This window comes from Homo sapiens, chromosome 15, assembly GCF_000001405.40.
Source record: "Homo sapiens chromosome 15, GRCh38.p14 Primary Assembly".
NCBI classification, from domain to species: Eukaryota; Metazoa; Chordata; class Mammalia; order Primates; family Hominidae; genus Homo; species Homo sapiens.
In genome coordinates, this window is record NC_000015.10 from 53080926 (window position 1) to 53104321 (window position 23396).

The window sequence follows — 23396 nt, forward strand, 5'->3', positions numbered from 1 at the left end:
TCCTTGGAGGTTAACTAACTTGCATGTGGTTACACAGCCAGTCAGCAGAAGACTCCGTACTAGAAAAAGAGAGATGTCCTCCTGGATTTTCTACTACTCTGCATAGGTTATGAAAAATCAAAATTTGCTTTCTTTGCTAGATCACACACTTGTGCACATGCAGTAGATACATCACTGAGTAGGTTTTATTTAATTCAGTTTTAGTATTCAATGACCCACGAAATGGGGTGGTAAGGAACTCATTCTCATTACTGGGAGTATGTATGTAGTGAGGCCAGTGTAAAAACTAAATTGTAACATTTTGCAACTGAGGGGAAGGTGAGATCCTGAGAGGCATTAAATGGGACAAAATTTTAAAAAAAATTACTTCGCAAGTGATAAAGCACTATACTCATATTAGGGGTAATGGTTATTTTAAAGTATGCCTTTTTTTGGGGAAGACTTCTATTTCATGCGGTACATGGTTTGTTACTCATATCAAACCAGTCTGTGAATACATAGATAATAAGGATCAGTGTCTCATGTTTCTGTCATCAGGGAATACCACAGTGTTTGGCACACAGCAGATGCTCAGTAAATATATTTGCTGTATGTTGAATGTTATATATCTAAACCCATATCATAAGTTATTGTACTCAAAGTGTGGTTTGTGGTCCAGTAGCATCAATTCCACCTGGGAGTTTGTTAGAAATGCAGGATTTGGGGCCCTGCCCCAGACCTACTGAGGCAGAATCTGCATTTTAACAAGATCTCCGAGTGCCTGACAGTCTCATAAAAGTTTGAGAGGCCTTGCAATAAACTGTGCTGAACCATCTCTATTCATCCAAACCCTATTGCATGAGTTTAGGTGTGGTCTGCATATGGGGTAGCAATTGTGATTGATTGAAATTATCACTGAATGGCCCTGAAATCATCCACAGAAGCAGCAACATTGGACAGGCATGTTGGTTCATGCCTGTAATCCCAGCACTTTGGGAGGCCAAGGCAGGTGGATCATTTGAAGCCAGAAGTTCAAGACCCACCTGGCCAACATGACAAAACCCCCTCTCTATTTAAAATTTAAAAATTAGCTGGGAGTGGTGGAGCACACCTGTAATCCCAGCTTCTTGGGAGGCTGAGTCATGAGAATTGCTTGAACCTGGGAGACAGAGGTTGCAGTGAGCAGAGATCACACCACTGCACTCCAGCCTGGGTGACAGAGCCAGACTGTCTCAAAAAAAAAAAAAAAAAAAAAAAAAAAAAGAAAAAAAAATGGGGCAAGCTTGTCCTGCCAGGAGAGGATGACTGGGACTAACCAACTGAGGAAACACTGTGTTTTCATCTCCCATGTAATTCCCAAATAGGACCTGTGTTTGAGCAGCATGGCACCATTTATATAATTTTTTCTCTCTCTAGCTCATGTAGGATAATTTGAGTTAAGTCCACTTACGATGAAACGCCACTGTTGATGGAAAATATTTTCTCTTGAGTGTCATGCTTCTTAATATTTGGATTTGAATACATTTGCTCGGTTTAACCAGATTCTGTTTCAACTAGTCCCACCGAAACCAGGGTTTTCACTCAGTTATGTTACACTGTACTAGAGTATTATGGCTCTACATGTCTAAACATCTTCAATTGGAATTTTGAAACAGAGCAATGGGGCATGAATCCTGAGCTTTGTCATTTATTTATGACTTGAGAAGCTCTCTGGATACCATGTGTATCTCAAAGGAAACGGAGAGTGGCCTTGGCCTGTGGAGCTCTGACTCTCAATCCCATGCTCCTTTCTGTATGTATCTCTAGGATCTGAGCGGATGCCTGAAGGACCACACCTGAGCTTTGGCAAAGTATTTTATCACTGGGTTTTGCTACCTTGTTTTGTGATGTCACAAGAGAAAACTCAATTTAGGCTGAGGCTGAGCCCAGATCAATATGGAGCTACCTGTGCCCCTGCCCTGTTCTTGCCCTGGGTCATCCTGCACTCAGTGTTGACTTTGTGGCATCTACTGAAATACTTTCAGAAGGCAGATACATGGTTGATGGAGCTGGGGTTGCCTGTCTCACTGACAGAATGGTCAGAATTCAGCCACTTAGAACCAGCAACTAGCCTACTTTTACTTGCTTTAAAAGGAATCAAGACTCTTTGGGCTTCCATGGAAATAAGTGAGTTTGCCCTGTAGAGGAAGCTCTGGAAGGATGGATCAGGAATAAGAAGGGTTCTCCAAGGGCATGTCTGATCTCTGCAGATGCTGCCTTCACATTTAGCCCCCACCCTGGTCCTCTGTCTCTGCCCCCTCTCTGCCAGGCCCTTTTCTTTTTCAGGCTCACTTTGTAAAATCTCCCTCTTCTCTTTCCTTCTCATGCCTACCTCTTTCATTCTCTGATAAAAGACAGAGGAGGTCTGGGCAGGGCATGCTCAGTAGTCGCAGGCAGGTTGTGTATGTAAGGAGGTAGCCACAGCAGTATCTCTCCATGGTGTTTCTCTTGTTTATATGAGCATAATTCACCAGATCAGTAAACATATCAGCTGGAAACCTCTTGCTTTATGACAGAGCAGATCAGTTCAAACCAAATGTTTACTAGAACATATTGCTGGACAGCCTAGTTTGGCTGTGGAGAAAGCTGATTCTGTTCCCCCTGGTGCTGACCAGTTCATCTCAATGCCTTGCTTTTAGACATCCACATACATGCTGAAAAGAGGATAAAAACTGTAGTTAGTTTACCCTGTATTGGCTTTTAACCAACCATGACTCTGTAAGTGGATAACTTGTTTTAGGGAAACAACTTCCCCCAAGCAGAATTTGGACATTATTATTATTATTATTATTATTTTTGACTGAAGCAAAGGCAATGCTACATAATGATGTAGCCACAATTAACTTTTTGGGCTGAAGTTCCCATAAACAAGATCAATATCAATGTCATTATTTATCTCTTTTTTTTCCAGATACCACTCTTGTAAAATTATGACTAAAAAGCAAGCTGTTTAAGATGGAAATACGAGTCTGTTATTTAACTCTTCGCATCCCAAATTCCCATGGTCATGGCCTAAGAATTCTAAAAATGGTCAGGAAAGAGGGGAGCAGGGTGTTAATAGCAGAATTGAAAGGAAAGGAAAGACCAGAGACTTGAAGGAGTTTCTTCATGTCCGCATTACTGGATTGTTGGGAAGGATGATTAATCTGCAGTTGTCTGGGGAAACAATTGGAAGGGACCTTCTCTAGCTCACCACTGGAATATGCATCTCAGGGTGGCAGAGGCTGCAAGGGAAGGTGGGCTTAGGCAGTGGTTTGGGGTCTTGATCTCAAGAACATCATGGGGGAAAGGTATGATGTCCCACATTCACACAGAGTGGAGATACTGTGGACTGTCATATGTACATCCAGTTGTAGTTGGCCCTGCTGGGGTGGGGAGCAAGCAGTGGTACTTCTTGAGGGCTCTAACGAGGGCAGATAATGAGGGTGGGGAGGTAGGGACTCAATGACCTTCAAGCTGCCTCCACAAGCAAAGAAGACTTTTTGACCTAGTGATGAAGTATAGCTTTCTTTCTTCTTTTCACTGAAAATTGGCCTGCTGATCTTAACACAGTAACATTTCAGGATTTAAAAATTTTCCCTCATCCCCTCATCTGGGCCTGAGACATGCAAATAGAATCCAGCAATGTCCCTGCCAGGCTCCTTTTTCAACTCGTAAGTCTAGACAAGTATATATTCTTATGTCTTAAGAATGGACAAATTGAGTAAATTATTATAAACGTGATCTAGTAACATAATAGCTAGCTAGCTAGCACTTATTGAGCACAAACTGTGTGCCAAGCACTTGACATAATAATCATTCTTATAACAACCCTAAAATCTGAGAATTATGCACACATCACATGTAAGTAAACAGAAGCCCTCTGAGATTAAAGAGCTTATTCAAGTAAGTAGCAGGATGGAAATCTGAGCCAATTTCTAACTCCAAAGTGCATGTTCTGAACCAAAAAATAACTGGGAGCAGGGTGATTATGTCCTCAATAAGCAGAGCAATAAGAAATAAAAAGAGAGAAACTTCAGAAAATCTCTATTTTGTATCATCAGTGAAATTTAACAATGGTATTTTCTTTTCTTTTTAAAAATAATTCAACTTTTATTTTAGATTAAGGGGTACACGTGCAAGCTTGTTACATGGGTATATCACATGATGCTGAGGTGTGGGGTGTGAATGATTCCATCACCCAGGTGGTGAGCACAGTACCCAGAAGGTAGTTTTTCAGCCCCTGTGCCCACTCTTTCCACCTGGTCCCAGTAACCCTCAGTGTCTATTGTTCACATCCTTATATGTTCATGTGTACCCAGTGTTTAGCTCTCACTTGTGAGAACATGAGGTATTTGGTTTTCTTTTCCTGCATGAATTTGCTTGGGATAATGGCCTCTAGCTGCATCCATGTTGCTGCAAAGGTCGTATATATTTAATTTTTTTTTTGACAGACTCTCACTCTGTTGCCCAGGCTGGAGTACAATGGTGCGATCTTGGCTCACTGCAACCTCTGCCTCCTGGGTTCAAGAGATTCTCCTGCCTCAGCCTCTTGAGTAGCTGGGATTACAGGCATGAGCCACCACACCTGGCTAATGTGTGTATTTTAAGTAGAGATGGGGATTCACCATGTTGGCCAGGCTGGTCTCAAACTCCTGGCCTCAAGAGATCTGCGCACCTCGGCATCCCAATGTGCCGGGATTGCAGGCATGAGCCACTGCACCTGGCCAAAAGTAATAATTTTATTCTTTTTTATGGCTGTATAGTATTCCGTGGTGTATATGTACCACATTTTCCTTATCCAGTCCACCACTGATGGGCATCTAGGTTGATTCCATGTCTTTGCTATTGTGCATAGTGCTGCAATGAACATAGGGATGCATGTGTCTTTCCAGTAAATAATTTATTTTCCTTCTGGTACGTACCCATTAATGGGATTGCTAGGTCAAATCGTAGTTGTATTTTTAGTTTTTTTTTTTTTTTTGAGAAATCTCCAAACTGCTTTCCACAGTGGCTGAACTAGTTTACATTCCCACCAACAGTGTGTAAGTGTTCCCTTTTCTCTACAGCCTTGACAGCATCTTTTTTTTTCCTTCACTTTGAAATAATAGCCATTCTCACTGGTGTGAGATAGTATCTCATTGTGGTTTTGACTTCCATTTCTCTGGTAATTACTAATGATGTGCACTTTTCCATATGCTTGTTGGCTGCATGTGTGTCTTCTTTCGAGAAGTGTCTGTTCATGTCCTTTGCCCACTTTTTAATGGGGTTATTTGGTTTTTGCTTGTTAATTTGTTTGAGTTCCTTATAGAGTCTAGATATTAGATTTTGTCAGATGCATCGTTTGTAAATATTTTCTCCCATTCTGTAGGTCGTCTGTTTAATCTGTTGATAGTTTCTTTTGCTGTGCAGAAGCTCTTTAGTTTAATTAGGCCCCACTTGTCAATTTTTGTTTTTATTGCAATTGCTTTTGAGGACTTAGCCATAAATCTTCACCAAGACTGACACTGAGAAGGGTATTTCCTGTGTTTTCTTCTAGGATTCTTATAGTTTGAGGTCTTACATTTAAGTTTTTAATTTATCTTGAGTTATTTTTTTTTTGTATGGAGAAAGGTAGGGATCCAGTTTCATTCTTCTGCATATGGATAGCCAGTTATTCCAGCACCATTTATTGAGTCCTTTCTCCATCGCTTATTTTTGTCAATTTTGTTGAAGATCAGATGGCTGAAGGTGTGTAGCTTTCTTTCTGGCTTCTCTATTCTGTTCCATTACTCTATGTGTCTGTTTCATACCAGTACCATGCTGTTTTGGTTACTGTAGCCTTACAGTATAATTTGAAGTCAGGTAATATGATGCCTCTAGCTTTGTTATTTTGGCTTAGGATTGCTTTGGCTATTTGGGCTCATTTTGGTTTCATATGAATTTTAGAACAGTTTTTTTCTAGTTAAGTAGTAAATAGTATTTGTAGTTTGATAGGAAGAGCATTGAATCTGTATGTTGCTTTGGACAGTATGACCATTTTAACAAGGTTGATTCTTCCAATCCATGAGCATGAGATACTTTTCCATTTGATTGTGTTCTCTATGGTTTCTTTCAGCAGTATTTTGTAGTTATCCTTGTAGAGATCTTTTACCTACCTGGTTTGATATATTCCTAGGTATTTTTTTAATATGGCTATTGTAAATGGAACTGTGTTCTTGATTTGGCTCTTGCTTGAATGTTATTTGTATATGGAAATACTACTGATTTTTGTACATTGGTTTTGCATCCTGAAACTTTACTAAAGCCATTTATCAGCTCTGGGAGCCTTTTGGCAGAGTCTTTAGCTTTTCTGGGTATAGAATCTTATAATTGGTGAAGAGACACAATTTAACTTCTTCTTTTCCTATTTGTATGCCTTTTATTTCCTTCTTCTGTCTGCTTGCTGTGGCCAGGACTTGCAACCCTATGTTGAGTAGGAGCAGTGACAGTGGGCATGCTTGTCTTGTTCTATTTCTCAGGGGAAGGATTCCATCTTTTGTCCATTCAGTATGAGTTGGCTGTGGGTTTGTTACACACGGCTCTTATTTTGAGGTACTCCTTTCGATGCTTAGTTTGTTGAGAGTTTTTATCATTAAAGGATGTTGAATTTTATTGAACACTTTTTCCGTGTCTATTGAGATGATCATATAGTTTTTGTTTTTAATTCTGTATTTATGGTGAGTCACATTTATTAATTTGCAATTGTTGAGCCACACTTGCATCCCAGGAATAAAACCTACTTGATCATGGTGAATTAGTTTTTGATGTGCTGCTGATTTACAAGTATTTTGTTGAGGTTTTTTTTGTGTCTATGTTCATCAGGTATCTTGGCCTGGTGTTTTCTTATTTTGTTGTATCTTGGCCAAGTTTTGTTACCATGGTGATGTTGGTTTTGTAGAATGAGTTATGGAGAGGTCCCTCCTCCTCAATTTTTTGGAATAGTTTCAGTCGAATTGGTACCAGTTATTTGTATGCCTGGTAGAATTTGGCTGTGAATCCATCGGGTCTGAGACTTTTTTTTTTTTTTTTTGGTTGGTAGGTTTATATTACTGATTTAATTTCAGAACGTGTTATTGGTCTGTTCAGGGTTTCAGTTTCTTCCTGATTCCATCTTAAGAGGTTGTGTGTTTTCAGGAATGTATTCACTTATTCTAGATTTTTTAGTTTGTGTGCACAGAAGCTTTCATAATAGTCTCTGAGGGTGTTTTGTATTTCTGTGGGATTGGTTGTGGTGTCACCTTGGTCATGTCTGATTGTGCTTATTCAGGCCTTTTTTCTTTTTTTCTTTGTTAAAATAGCTAGTGGTCTATCAATCTTGTTTGTCCTGTCAGAGAACCAGCTTTTGGTTTTATTGATCCCTTATATAGATTTTTTTGGTTTCAATTTTGTTCCATCCTGCTCTGATTTTAGTTATTTCTTTCCTTCTGCTAGCTTTTTGGGTAAGTTTGTTCTCGATTTTCTACTTTGTCTAGGTGTGATGTTAGATTGTTCATTTGAAATCTTTCTCACTTCTTAGTTGTTGTTGTTGTTGTTCTCCTCCTCCTCCTCCTCCTTCTCCTTCTTCTCCTTCTCCTTCTTCTTGTTCTTGTTCTTGTTCTTCTTCTTCTTCTCTTCTCCTTTGTCTCCTTCTTCTCCTTCTTCTTCTTCTTCTTCCTTCTTCTTTTTCTAATGGAGCCTTGCTCTGTCACCTACACTGGAGTACAGTGGTGCAATCTCAGCTCACTGCAACCTCCACCTCCTGGGTTCAAGCAATCCTCCCATCTCAACCTCCTGAGTAGCTAAAATTACAGGTGTGTGCCACCATATCTGGCTAACTTTTTTGTATTTTTAGTAGAGAGGGGGTTTCACCACGTTGGCCAGTCTGGTCTTGAACTCCTGATCTCAAGTGATCTGCCTGCCTCGGCCTCCCAAAGTGCTGGGATTACAAATGTGAGCCAACACGCCTGACCTCAACTTTTTGATGTAGACATTTAGTACTACAAGCATTCCTTCTAACACTGCTTTTGCTGCATCCTAGAGATTTTGGTGAGTTATATCTCTGTTATCATTTATTTCAAATAAATTTTTGATTTCTGCCTTAATTTTATTGTTTACCAAGAAGTCATTCAGGAGCAAGTTGTTTAATTTCTGTATAACTGTGTGGTTTTGACAGAACCTCTTGGTATTGATTTCTATTTTTATTCTCCTGTGGTCCAAAAGTATACTTGATATTATTGTATTTTTTTTGAATTTGTTAAGCCTTTCCTTATTGCTGAGCATTTAGTCAATCTTGGAGTATGTTCTATATACAGTTGAGAAGAATGTATAATCTGTGATTGCTGAGTGGAGTAATCTATAGATGTCTATTAGGTCCAATTGGTTAAGTGTCCAATTTATGTCCAGAATGTTCTTTGTTAGTTTTCTGCCTTAATGATTTGTCTAGCGCTGTTAGTGAGGTGTTGAAGTCACCCACTATTAGTGTGTGGCTGTTTCAGTCTTTCTGAAGGTCCAGAAGTACTTGTTTTATGAATCTGGGTGCTCCAATGTTGAGTGCACATATAATTAGGGTAGTTAAGTCTTCTTGTTGAATTGAACTCTTTATCATTATATATGCCTTTCTTTATTCTTTTTTACTGTGGTTGGTTTAAAGTCTACAGTATCTGATATAAGAATAGCAACCCCTGCTCTTTTTGGTTTTCCATTTGTGGGATAGATCTTTCTCTATCTTTTTACTTTGAGCCTATGGCTGTCATTACATGTGAAATGGATCTCTTGAAGACAGCAGACTGTTGAGTCTTCTTTTTTGTTTTTTTTTTTTTATCGAACTTGCCACTCTGTGCCTTTTAAATGGGGTGTTTAGACTCTTTACACTCAAGTTTAATATTGATATATGAGGTTTTGATCCTATTGTGATGTTGTTAGCTGTTTGTTTTTTATTCTCTATTGTGTAGTTGCTTTATAGGGTCTGTGGACTCCAGCGTGGATGACAGAGCAAGACTCCATCTCAAAAAAAAAAAAATGTGTTTATGTGGTAGCAGGAATCACTCTTTAGTTTCCATGTATAGAATTCCCTTGAAGATCTCTTGCAACACTGGTCTAGTGGTAACAAATTCTCTTAGCACTTACTTGTCTGGAAAAAATTTTATTTATCCTTTGCTTATGAAGCTTAGTTTGGCAGGATATTAAATTCTTGGTTAGAATTTGCATAGACCACCATGCAACCTTTTTGATACAAGCCCTTGAACAAACACTTAAGCTAAATTAAAAAAAAATATATCAATAACTGACAAGATGTGACCTTCTTCTTCTTCTTCTTCTTCTTCTTCTTCTTCTTCTTCTTCTTCTTCTTCTTCTTCTTCTTCTTCTTCTTCCTTCTTCCTTCTTCCTTCTTCATTTTCTAATGGAGCCTTGCTCTGTCACCTAGGCTGGAGATAATACATGAGCGTATTTTAATCCATGAAACCTCTAACTTCTACTGCTATTCACATAGCTTTTATTTATGTTCATAAAAGTTAGTGAACATACCAGAAATAATTCTGTAAACCAGCAGCATCAAATGGAACTTTCCAAAATAAATCGTGTCTACACTGTCTGACAGTGTGACTGCCATCTATATGGAACTGTTGAGCACCCTAAAATGTGGCCAGTGTGACTTATGATCCGACTTTTTAATTGTATTTAACTAGTTAATATGAATTCAAATACCTATTTGTGGCTAGTGGCTACCCTACTGGATAGTGCAGCTCTAAGAGTAGGTACAAAATTAAAAATTGAGGAGGGCAGGTGTGAGGGGAGTAGATACATCTACTAAAAAGGTAGCAACAATACCTTTTACTTACAGAGTCCTTACTCTGTGTTGATACTTGTGCTTCAGCACATACACTTTGCACATATTCTACTGCAGTGGGTGCTGTATCAGTGATTTACATTTTTGTATATATGAGAGTGTGTATGTTAATTTTTGTTTGAGAAATCTTTCCTTATTGTTGGATTAGACAGGAGCAAAAATCACCTTAAACTTGAACTTCCTTGTTTTAAGACTACTTTTTATGGTCTTTTTAGTGAAGTAACTACAGATCAGGTAAGGCCTTATTGTCATGGAAGAAGGCTATACCAAGACTTTTGGTGACTTGAGTGCTTTAAAAGCAATCTGTTTTAACTCTATGCCTATTGATGAGCAGATTCTAAGATTTATGTGGAAATGTAAACCACCTAGAATAGCTAAAACAAATTTGAAAAAAAGGATAACTTGTAGGATTTTCACTTCCCAATTTCAAAACTCACCCTAATGCTGCAGTTATTAAGACAGTATGATACTGGATAAGGATAGATGTAGACCAATGGAACATATTGTGAATCCAGAAATAAATCCTGTATTTAGAATTTAGACTTTTTTGTTTGTTTGTTTTACAAAGGTGTCAATGCAATTCACTGGGAAAAAGTCTCCTCAACAAATGGTGATGGGACAATGGGATATCCATATGTGTGAAAGTGAACTTAGACCCTCACCTTATACATGCCATATACAAAAATGAACTCAAAATGCATCACGAACTTAAAGTAAGAGCTAAAACAATAAAATCTTTGGAAGAAAACATAGAAAAAATATCTTTGTGTCCTTCAGATAGGCAAAGATTTCTTAGATATGACACCAAAAGCACTGTTCATAAAAAATGGATAAACTTGACCTCATTAAATTAAAAATTTTCTCCTTTAAAAAATGCTATTAACAATATGAAAAGACAAGAAATAAATCAGGAGAAAATATTTGCAAAACACATATCTGCAAAACACATAAAGGATTTGTATCCAGAATTTATAAAAAATCATAGTGCTCAAAAATAAGACAAACAGCCCAAACAAAAATGGACAAAATATATGAACAGACATTTCATCAAAGAACATGTATGAATGTCTAGGATGCACATGAAAAGATGCTCAGCATTATTAATCATTAGGGAAATGATTCACACTCAATAGAATGGCTATAAAAATAAGAAGAAAATAACAAATGTTGGTGAGGATGAGAAATAAGAACCCTCATACATTGTTGGTGGGAATGTAAAATTATGCATCCATTGTGGTTACAGTTTGCATTTGTGGTAAGTTAGACATTTTCTTAAAAAGTTAAATATAAAACTATTACATGACTCAGTACTGTTCCTAGGTGTATACCCAAGAGAATTGAAAACATATGTCCATACAAAAGCTTGCACAAGAATGTTCATAGCAGCATTACTGATAAGAATTTCAAACTGGAAAAAGCCTAAATGTCTACCAATCTTGTCAGAATTGTCCAGGTATATATAACTCATATTTAGGGTTCACAATTCATATTTAGAATATGCAAAAAATATTTATTTTAACTCTGCCAGTGTAGCTGTGTATCATTGGGTAAATTACTTAATCTAAATCTCAGTTTCTCCATTTGTAAAATGGGAATAGTAACAGAACTAACTCATTATTGTGAGTATTAAAAGAGTAAATCCTCGGAAAGCCCTTGGAGTAGTTGTTGGCACATAGTAAGTCTTCAGTAACTGTTGGTAGCTGTTTCTCTTTGGGAAAGAGGATCTGGAGTATAGTGTAAAGAGCATTAGCCTAGAAGACTAGTTCTAGGCCCAGTCTGCTCATCAGTAGCTGGGAAAACTTGGGGATACTACTTGTCTTTCTCGGGTCATAGTTTCATCTTTGCAAAATGAAAAGAATGAAGTAGATGATCCCAAGTGACCCTCATGGCTAGGTTACTCTGTGAATTTGTGATAGAAGAGTTAGTCCAGTTGGCTGATTAAAAGAAATTCACGTTAAAAAATGATTGATTTATGTAATCTCAGCACTTTGGGAGGCCAAGGGGGGTGGATCATTTGAGGTCAGGAGTTTGAGACCAGCCTGGCCAACGTGGTGAAACCTTGTCTTTACTAAAAATACAAAAGTTACCTGGGCTTAGTGGTGGGCACCTGTAATTCCAGCTACTCAGGACGCTGAGGCATGAGAATCACTTGAACCTGAGAGGCAAAAAAGTTTGATTTAAATTATCATGATTGTGTTCATTACTCACAATATTGGTACCCCAGAATTGTTCTCACCTATTTATTTTGACAGCACAAACTTGGCCTAACACATGAATTTATCTTCATTTGTTTCTTTTATTCTTCCTTAGCCAACATCAGGTTTTGCTGACCTGCTTGTTTCATGTTCTGATTTTCTGAATTAGGATGAAATTTCGTTACTCTAAACCTGTCTCTCTCCCATATGGGTTACAATAGAATCCACCACTTTAAACAATCCCCAATTGGAATAAGAAAATCCTCATAAACCCTGCCTTCTTAGAGTGTGTACATGGGACCTCATTCTGTAGATTTTCATTACTTCTTGTTGTGTTTTTTTTTATTATTAGTTTTTTAAAAAACAGGAGGAGAAAGAGAAAATTGTTATCATCCCCTTGGGCGTTTCGTAGTTACAGGAATGGAAGTTTAACTATTGGTGGAGACTCCATGGGAATTTGAAATAGTTTTACTACTTATCCAAACTACTTACTATCAGAAAAGATAACCTTTGCCACTGATTTAATAACAGTTGTTCAACTCAATTATGTAAACACTTGGCACTTTTGATTCTTCTGGAATATTATTGAATTTTAAAAATGCCCTTTAGCATACTAAGGATAAAATTTATCCTGTCTGCAAATCTAGAGGGATAATATAATATGAAGATAAAAAATGTTTTAAGAAGCTTTTTTTTGAGATATGTAAACAATCAATTTTCACCTTCAGTTATTAATTGCACATAATTTTGAAAAATAATAAATTTAGCCAAAGTCAAGTCTGCTAGGCTGTTGTATGCTCTGGCTATAGTACTTCATTTTTGTAAAATTTGTTGTTTTCAAAGGTGGAATCTCACTCCATAGGAGTGAATTAAACATTCTGCTATGGTTGCCTGCCACTAGGTGAACTGTGGCATCTGAATTCTTGAGCTAAAATACACTGATGCCCTTAAGGTCCAGATGAGAAGAAGCAGGGCCAAAGTACTGATCCATTCATCTGCATCATTTTCTACAAAATATTAATTTTAAGTTGAAAAAGAGACACAGAGTCATTGCAAAAACAAGAGTTCTAAAAATACTTTTAGAACTTTTGTATAAATTCACTGCTAATCATTTTTTCACAGTAAAAAACAATATTGTTTTAGGTAGTTTTCCTCCATTTCTGAAGAAAGGCCATCCAGTTTGTTCCCAGTGGCCAGGAATGCCCTTTATTCCCTTCTCTTGATTTTGAGAACTCAAGTTGTCTTAATTCTTTTTCCATAAGCCTTGGCATTAGGGCAGACTTGAGGAAGAGAAAACATGAAAAGTTTGGGTTGTCTCTCTTTTTCAAGTGACTTTGAATTTCCCATCTCAAGACACACCTAACTTACTCTTGGTTGGCATTTTTCTTTGCTGTCTGGGTCTGTGTTTAGCTGATTTTCTCTCCTTGTGCCTTATTTCTCTACTGCATAGTCTAGATTGCTGGTTTTTTAAAAATACTTTTTATATTTATTTGACAAGTAAAAATTGTATATATTTATGGTGTACAACATGTTGTTTTTATATATGTAGATAGTGTGGAATGGCCAAATCAGGCTATTTAATACATGCATTACTTCACATACTTATTTATTGCGGTAAGAATACTTAAAATCTACTCTCTTGGTAATTTTCAAATACACACTATATTGTTATTAACTGTAGCCATTATGATGTACAATAGATCTCTTGAACTTATTCCTTCTGTCTAACTGAAATTTTTCTGTTTGTTTGACCAACATCTTCTCAATCTCTCCACCCTCAGTCTCTGGAAATCATCATTTTACTCTCTGTTTCTATGAGTTCAACTTTTTTACACTCTATATATGAGTGAGATCTTGTGGTATCTGTCTTTCTGCGCTTGGCTTATTTCATGTAACATAATGTCCTCTAGGTTCATCTATATTGCCCCAAATGACAGGATTTCCTTCTTTTTTGAGGCTAAATAGTTTTCCACTGTGCATACATGCCACATTTTCTTTATCCATTCATGTGATAATGGACACTTAGGTTGATTTCATGTCTTGGCTATTGTGAATAGTGCTGCAACAAACATGGAAGTGCAGCTATCTCTTTGACATACAGATTTCAATTCCTTTGGCTATCTACCCAAATATGGGGTTGCTTGATCACATGGTAGTTCTATTTTTAATTTTTTTTAGAAGTGCTGCACTGTTTTCCATAATAGATATACTAATTTATATTCCCACTAATAGTGTGCAAGGATTCCCTTTTCTCCACATTCTCACCAACATTTGATATCTTTTGACTTAAAAAAAATTTTTTTTGAGGCAGGGTCTCACTGTCACCTAGGCTGGAGTGCAGTGGCACTATCACAGCTCACTGCAGCTTTGAACACCTGGGCTCAAGTGATCTTCCTGCCTCAGCATCTCAAGTAGCTGGGACTACAGGCACATGCCACCACACTTGGTTAATTATTTTAAGTTTTTTTAGAAATGAGGTTTCGCTATGTTGCCCAGTCAGTCTCAAATTCCTGGGCTCAAGCAATCATCCCACCTTGGCCTCCCAAAGTGCTAGGATTACAGGTGTGAGTCACTGTACCTGGCCTCTTGACTTTTTGATAATGGCCATCTGGACAAGTGTGAGGTTACATCACATTGTAGTTTTGATTTACATTTCTCTAATGATTATATATGTTGAACTATTTTTCCATATAAAGTCATGTGCCACATAATGATATTTCTGTCAACAAAGGACTGCATATACAATAGTGGTTCCATAAGATTATAATGGAACTAAAAAATTCCTAGTGACATAATAGTGCAACATATTACTCGTGTGTTTGGGGTGATGCTGTTGTAAACAACCCACTGCACTGTCAGTCATATAAAAGCATAGCACATATAATTATAGATAGCACACAATATTTGATAATGATAACAAAAACGATTATCTATTATTAAAACTATTATTTGATAATTGTTGATCAATTAGTTGATATTATTGATAATGATAATAAAAACTATGTTTATGTATTTACTATACTTTTATTGTTATTTTAGAGTGTATTCCTTCTACTTATAGAAAAAAAAAGTTAGCTATTAAAACAGTCTCAGGCAGGTCCTTCAAGAGGTAGTCCATAAGAAGGCATTGTTATCATTAGTGACAGCTACAAACATGTTATTTTCCCTGAAGACCTTCCAGTGGGACAAGATGTGGAGGTGGAAGATGATGATATTGATGAGCCTAACCCTATGTAGGTCTAGGCTAATGTGGGTGTTTTTGTCTTAGGTTTTAGCAAAAAAGTTTAAAAAGTAAGAAAATTAAAAATGCTTATAGAATGAAGATATAAAGAAAGAAAATATTTTTACACCTGTACAATGTGTTCATGTTTTAAACTGTTATTACAAAAGAGTCAAAGTTAAAAAATTAAATTTTATAAAAAAGCTATGGTAAGCTAAAGTTAACTTATTTTTGAAGAAAGAAAAATGTTTAAAAAATAAATTTGGGCGCAGTGGCTGATGCCTGTAATCCTAGCAGGCATTACTTTGGGAGGCCGAGGTAGTCAACTCACTTGAGGCCAGGAGATCGAGACCAGCCTGGCCAACATGGTGAAACTCTGTCTCTACTAAAAAAATACAAAAAACAAAAGAAGGAAAAAATAGCTGAACCTGGTGACACACCTGTGAACCCAGTTACTTGGGAGCCTGAGGCACAAGAATCATTTGAACCCTGGAGGTGAAGGTTGCAATGAGCTGAAATCTCACTACTGCATTTCAGCCTGGGCGACAAAGTGAGACTCTGTCTCAAAAAATAAAATAAAATAAATAAATAAATTTAGTGTAGCCTAAGTGCACAGTGTTTATAAAGTCTATAGTAGTATACAGTAATGTTCTAGACCTTCACATTCATTTACCACTCAGTCACTGACCCACCTAGAGCAACTTATTCATGGTAAGTGTTCTATACAGGTATATCATTAAAACATATTTTGTACTGTTTTCTTAATGCACTTTTTCTATATTTAGATATGTTTAGATACACAAATACCACTGTGTTACAGTCTCTAAAGTATTCAGTATAGTACCATGCTGTACAGGTTTATAAACTAGGAGCAATAGTGTATACCATATTGCCTAGGTGTGTGATAGGCTATACCATCTAGATTTGTGTAAACACTCTATAATATTTACACAATGACTAAATCACCTAACAATACATTTCTTAGAATGTATCCCCATTATTAAACAATGCATGACTGGTCCCATTGGCCATTTGTATGTCTTCTTTTCAGAAATGTCTATTCAGGTCCTTTGCCCACTTTTAATTGAATGGTTTTCTTACTATTGATTTGTTTGAGTTCCTTATACATTTTGTATATTAACCCCTTATTAGATGTATGGTTTGCAAAAATACATTCTCCATTCTGTAGGTTGTCTGCTCACTGTTGACTGTTTCCTTTGCAATGCAGAAGCTATTTAGTTTGATGTAATCCCACTAGTGTATTTTTGCTTTTGTTGCCTGTGAGTTCGGGTTCACAGCCAAAAAATTATCTCCCAGATAAATGTCATGGAGCCTTTCCTCTATGTTTTCTTCTGGTTTCTGGTATTATGTTTAAGTATTTAATTCTTTTTGAGTTGATTTTTGTATATGATGTGAGATGAGGGTCTAATTTTATTTTTTTGCATGTGGAAATCCAGTTTTTTAGTGGCGTTTATTGAAGAGGCTGTCCATTCCCCATTGTGTGTTTTTGTTACCTTTGTTGGAAATCAATTGATCATAAATATGTAGATTTATTTCTGAGCTCTGTATTGTTTTCTGTTCATCTGTGTGTCTGTCTTCATGCCAGTACCATGCTGTTTTGATTCCTATAGCTTTGTAGTAGGTTTTTTAAATCAGGTAGTGTGATGCCTCCAGCTTTGTTTTTTTCCTCAAGATTGCTTTGTGTATCTGGGTCTTTTGTGCTTCCATAAAAATTTTTGTTTTTTCTATTTCTGCGTAATACGTCATAGGAACTTTGGAGCTTTGATAGGGATTGCTTTACTAAAGATAGCTTTGGGTAGTATGTGCATTTTAACAATATTAATTCTTCCAATCCATGAACATGGGATGTCTCTCTACTTATTATGTCTTCTTTAATTTCATTTATCAATGTTTTATAGTTTTCAGTGTAGAGATCTTTCACCTCCTTGGGTAAATTTATTTCTAAGTATTTTGTGGTAGCTATTGTAAATAAAATGGTTTTCTTGATTTCTTTTTTGGATAGTTCATTCTTAATGTATTAAAATACAACTGATTTTTGTATGTTGATTTGGTATTCTATAACCTTACCAAATGCATTAGTTCTAACACTTTTCTGGTGGAGTCTTTAGAGTTTTCTATATATAAGATCATGTCTTCCGCAAACAAAGACAATTTAATTTCTTCTTTTGCTATTTGGATGTCATTTTTTTTTCTCTTGTCTAATTGCTCTGGCTTGAGCTTCCAGTACTATGTTGAATAAAAGTGGCAAGAGTGAGCATCCTTGTTTTGTTTTTGATCTTATAGTAAAAGCTTATTTTTTCACTAAAATCTGGATTCTTAAAGTGGCTTGGTCATTATTACTATTATTATTGTTGTTGTAATTTATAAAGCCACAATGTAGGTATGCAACCTGGCCATGCAAGTTCATCTTTTCATCAACTCTAACTTAGACCCATACAGGAAAGGATGTTCTGAGAAATGTAGCTCCTAACCATAACAAAGTTGACATCATGATTGTGGCAAAATGGTCAGACACCAAAATTGTGAGGGAGCAAGAACTACGAGTAAGGAAAGGAACCTGACCAACAAAGACAGGGGAATGCATCATATTTATGAAGCATCAGAGGATCATATTGCCAATGAAAAATGGCAAGAATTGCTGGTCTGCAGAGCCACCTCAGTTCTCAACAACTTGTCAGTTTCAGACCCATATACATTTAATCTCCCCTTTTCTGAAGTATTTAAGTGCATTATCTTGCAAACAAAAGAATCCTCCAACTTGTTCCTAAAATAAAATTGGATTAACAGTAAAGGGTATCCAATTAGCTACTCAAAGATTTGTCCTAATTGGCTAGAAAATGTACAGTCAGGGTCTAGCACAACATGTATTGGCACATTGTCAGTACTCAAAAAGTATTTGTATAGTGCCTGTAGTTCTAGTCACTTGGGAGACTGAGGCAGGAGGATTGCTTGAGCCCAGGAGTTTGAGGTTGCACCTGTGAATAGCCACTGTATTCAGCCTGGGAAACATATGAGACTTCATCTCTTTAACAAAAAGTGTTTGTAGAATGAGTGAATAAGTTAATATAGGCCATGTGCTATTCTGTCAATTTTGGTACACAAATCAATAAAACTGCATATGAGATCCTCAAGTTTTAGATCTTCCACCAGGTTAGATGGGTACTATGAGCTGATTTGTTAGGAATAGTAATTAACTTTGTTGAGTCCTCTTTGATATCCCTTGGTGTCCAGGGGCATGTTTTAGGTGAGATGCCTCATCAGAATTAGATGAGCTGTGTGGCTCCCCTGAGTATTCTGAAAATTGTGGGCAGATATGGTGGTGAATCTAAGGCACTGGTTCATTACTACATAATGAGTAAATTGGAATAGTTGAGCTAACCAATTCAGAGGCATTCTCTAGAATATAGTTAAATTTGAAATGCCATATCAAAGCCTTTTGTTGAGATGGCCTTTTAACTCTAGGTTGATCAGTTCTTTTGTAAATGTAAATTTTTGCTGTTTAATTGAGGATATAGGATGTGAAACCATGTAACACATCTACTCCTAGGTACACATTTTACATATTCTTGCAATGACCTGAAAAGAATGGCCTTTGGCCTTTATATCTCATGTCTTCCTCATTATTATTCTAGTTATATGGGGGTGAGAGGAGTGAAGGATGTTCCTGTCTGTGATAGTGTAGAGAAAGATCTGCTAGCTTCCTTTACTTCTTTTAAGCCTTGGTGAAGACTGGTTGGGCATCTAGGGGAAATGTAATCCCAAATACAAGGCTGAAATAAGAACAATTTCAATTCAAATCCTCAGTGTTAGACCAAAACCAAAATTTGAGTCTATGAGGGTCCAAAGCAAGACCAGCTTAACTCTTCTCACTTAGCTCTTGGCCTGTGAACACAATAGTGAATGGTTTGTAAGGACTAATATTGGACTCCATGAGTTAGGGCTGGTGAAGTAAATTTATTAAGAAAATTTCAGATTCATCTCTCCATTGTGGATATTCTCTCCAAAGACATTCTTAAAATGCCTTTTCTGATTTTTTTTCCTTGCATTTTGATGCCTCATCATAGAATTAAATGTGGCTTGATGTAGAAACCAGACAGACCAGCAACTTTGATGTATTTCCTACAATTCTAAATATGCATTAGGTCTTTTTGAAAATTTGCTATGTTAGAGTGATGGCCCACATTGCACTTATAGTTACCTCAGCTCTCAGGCCGGGCATTTTTCAGGGAGGGGAAAAACTGTGCATGGGATAGTGGGTGAGAGCCCATGGCATGATCAGGGAACACTATGGTTATGGCACTGATAGAGTCAACAATCCCTTATGTCTGTTTTAAAATTGCTTTCATAAGCATTAACTCATTTATCTCTTACAGAATTATAATATAGGGAACATTTAATTACAATTATTTTTTCCAAAGTCAAGTAAACAAAACTTTACATTCAATTAATTACATTTTTTTCGTAAGTATAGTAAATTCCTACAATCATTGAATGTCCTTCCTATTTCTCCCTACTCTTCCTTAGGATTTGTACCATATGTCTAAGTTGTGCATGCCAAGGATAATGGAAACAAGACTGGCGAGGGGAGGCATGGGTAGGACTTAAAAATTCCAGAGGTCTGCAAAGGTTTCTTCTCAGGTAGAGCAAACTGGGTCTGGTGGAGCAAAACTTGGGCTCCATGGGGTGGTGCTGGGGTTGGAGGGAGGGTCTTTTAATTTATCCTTGTTGAGGAAGCCTTTTTATTCTGGATGTTCTTTCTCCTCCAGATGCACCGTAACTTGCTAATGTTTCTTGTAGGGTGAGGTGTCCCAAATTGAACACAACATTGTAGATGTGGCTTGATGTAGAAACCAGAGAGACTATTAGCAACTTTGATGTATTTCTTACAATTCTAAATATGCATTAGGTATTTTTGAAAATTTGCCATGCCAGAGTGATGACCCACATTGCACTTATAGTTACCTCAGCTCTCAGGAAGGGCCTTTTTCAGGGAGGAGAAGGACTGTGCAAAAGATAGTGGGTGAGGGTCCATGGCATGATCAGGGAACACTATGGTTATGGCACTGATAGAATCAACAAGTCCTTTAAGTCTGTTAAAGATTTATTGAGCATGTCTAATGTGAGTCTTTATCTAAGTTACTATAAAAATATTGATTACAAGGGGTAGGCCTAGGTCCCAGAGCATATCATTAAAGATCTCTTTTCTGGCTGATTTTGATTCTGATTAATACTTTGAGAAAATACATTTGTTCAGATATAATTTCTCCTAACTCTGCTCTCATAATCTCGAACTTCTTTTTCTTTATCACAAGGATATATGAAAAACCATCACATATCATGCTGAAATCAAGATAATAATACCCTATACCTGCTTTAAGGCCCAGCAATTCCACTTCTATGTATTTATCCAGGAGAAATAAAAACACGTCTACTAAAAGACTCATACAAGAATGTTTATGGAAACCATATTCACAATAACCCCAAGCTGGAAATGACCCATATGTCCATTAATAAGAGAACAGATCAACAAAATGTGGTATATGCATACAAGGGGATACTCCTCAGGAATAAAAAAGGAACAAACTACTGGTATGTGCAACACAGATGAGTCTTGAAAACATATTGAGTAAAAGAAGCTTTATATAAAAGAGTACCTACTGCATGATTCCATTCATGTGGAGTTCTAGAACAGTTACAACCAACCTATGGTGCAAAAAATTAGAACAGTGACCATCTCTGCGGGTGAGAAAAGGCAACTTTCTAGGATGATGATCATGTTTTCTATCTTGATAGCAGTTTGAGTTAGACAGACGTTATGGACCAAATTGTCTTCCCACAAAATATGTATGTGGAAGCTCTAACTCCCAATGTGACCATGTTTGGAGACAGGGCTTTTAGGAGATAGTTAAATTTATATGAGATTGTAAGAGTGGGGTCCTAATCCAATAGGACTGGTGGCCTTATAAGAAGAGAATCTCTCTCTCTCTCTCTGTCTGTCTTTCTCTCTTTATCTCTCATGAGAACATAGAAGGCAGACACCTGCAAGCCAGAAAGAGAGCTCGCACTAGAAGCTAACCATACTTACTCATGGATCTTGGAATCTGAAGCCTCTAGAACTATGAGAAAATAAATATTGTTGTTTAAGCCACCCAGTCTATGATATTTTGTGATGGCAGCCTGAGCAGACTAATGCAACACATGCATCCATAAACACAACAACGTAGCCAGCACTCTGACCAGTGTACCCAAGCAGTCCCCTGTGCTAGCTTCCAGTTACCACCTTCTAAGGTAAACATGCTCCTGATTTTTAACACCATCAATAATGATACGACTTGCCTGCTTTTGAGTTTCACAGAAATAGAAGCCTAAAGAAAAATACTAAGATAATAATACTATAACTCATTGTTTTGTTTTCAGGAGTGAATGAGGTAACATAGTATACTTGGAAGAGTGCCTGGCAAGTATTGGATGTTGAAATATTGGTTCTCTTCTATGACCTCTTTCTTCTTCCTGGTCACAGCATGTAGCAGGTGGCTTAATAAAGCAAGTTCTGTCTATATGACCTCCATGAAAAGTGAACAGCCCTGCTCACTGCTCACTGACCAGCTGATCTTCCACACACCCGAGTCTCTGAGATGGAGCTAAAACAACTGTATGCCTGGTTGAAATGTCTACTTCCCATTCAGATATTTAGACCTTGGTTAGACACCCACTAAATGAGGCATGTCTGTGCAAAAGCATTCCAAACTGAGCAGATGCAAAGAAATATTATCCTTTAGAACCCATTTGATCCCTTTTTTAAACCCAAGAAAACATAAATGCAACAATAGATCAATTTGACTGTAAATATTATCTAAGTATGTCCTTTAAAAGCCAAAGGAATGTCAGATACAATTTATTTTCCACCAGTGCAAGCTGAGACATTAAGTGGCAATTCTACTTCCATTAGCTAAATCTGGCAAATATGCAACTGTTTAAAGGCATTGTCGATAGCCATTCACGATTAAGTATTTGTACTGATGCCTTATTAAATTACCCTTTTCAAGTAGGCATAATAAACTAGGAGTTCACTGTGCAGATTTTCATGGGGAAAGTCAGATCACTATGGAATTTATTTAGAGAGAATTTAGTGCACTGAGTAATGAAGTAAATGTCAAATGTTTTGACCAAATAAATCTTATCTTCCTTAAAACTTTTTTTTGAGGTCAAGAGACACAGCAAAATAAAAATCCCAGTGATTATAATGGTCATAATTTATAACTTTATTGAAACAACTTTAAAACTTTGATTGTTTTTTAAATAATGAAATCTGTTTTGTTTTTAACTGACAGCATTGCCCTACACAGGGGATTTCTACTCTTCCTTTACAAAGCTGGTTTCTTCCAAACATTAAGATCTCTTACAGGGACTGAATGATAAATGGATGAATGAGGAGGATGATGAAGGGGGAAGGTGATGGAAGAATTAGGACAAGGAGGCTATGCAGGAGATTGGTAAGCAATGAGCTAAGAAGGCTTTGAGACCTATTGAGAGATTCTAAACTCCTGGATGGGCCTATCTGCATTTTGTCTGCAAAGCAATGGTAACTAGAAAATTGGGCTGGGCGTGGTGGCTCACGCGTGTAATCTCAGCACCTTGGGAGGCTGAGGGGGGTGGATCCCCTGAGGTCAGGAATTTGAGACTAGCCTGACCAACATGGTGAAACCCCGTCTGTACTAAAAATACAAAAATTAGATGGGCGTGGTGATGGGCACCTGTAATCCCAGCTACTCAAGATGCTGAGGCAGGAGAATGGCTTGAGCCCAGGAGGCGAAAATTGCAGTGAGCCGAGATCACGCCATTCCCCTCCAGCATGGGTGACAAGAGCTAAACTCCATCTTACAAAACAACAACAACAACAACAACAACAACAACAAAATAAAAATAAAAACAAACTAGAAAATTCTTTATTTAGTAATGCATTGGTCTCTCCTTCAGTCATTTGATATAGTTCTCATCATTGTAATTCTTAAGCATTAATTATGTATTTCTAGTTCTGGTACCATAATAGTTTCTAGGTACAAATTTTTCTACTCCCGTTTTCTTCCTTCCCCATCTATGTACCAAACCTAGAAAT

The 23396-nt window shown here is 37.2% G+C and overlaps 2 long non-coding RNA genes across 7 annotated transcripts in view; both read left to right on the forward strand.

Annotated features, from left to right (window-relative positions):
• LOC107983981 (uncharacterized) overlaps positions 1-23396 on the forward strand; it is a 417903-nt gene that overhangs the window by 277174 nt on the left and 117333 nt on the right. The gene's annotated exons all lie outside the window — the stretch shown is intronic.
• LOC105370823 (uncharacterized) lies at positions 1915-22933 on the forward strand. 2 transcript variants are annotated; one of them, XR_932261.3, is made up of 4 exons: positions 1915-2145; positions 19805-19918; positions 20593-20869; positions 22612-22933. It is a non-coding gene; the product is annotated as an uncharacterized LOC105370823 (long non-coding RNA). The 2 variants fall into 2 exon arrangements; XR_932262.3 differs by lacking the exons at positions 1915-2145; positions 22612-22933 and adding an exon at positions 7932-8043 and having other exon boundaries at positions 20593-20723.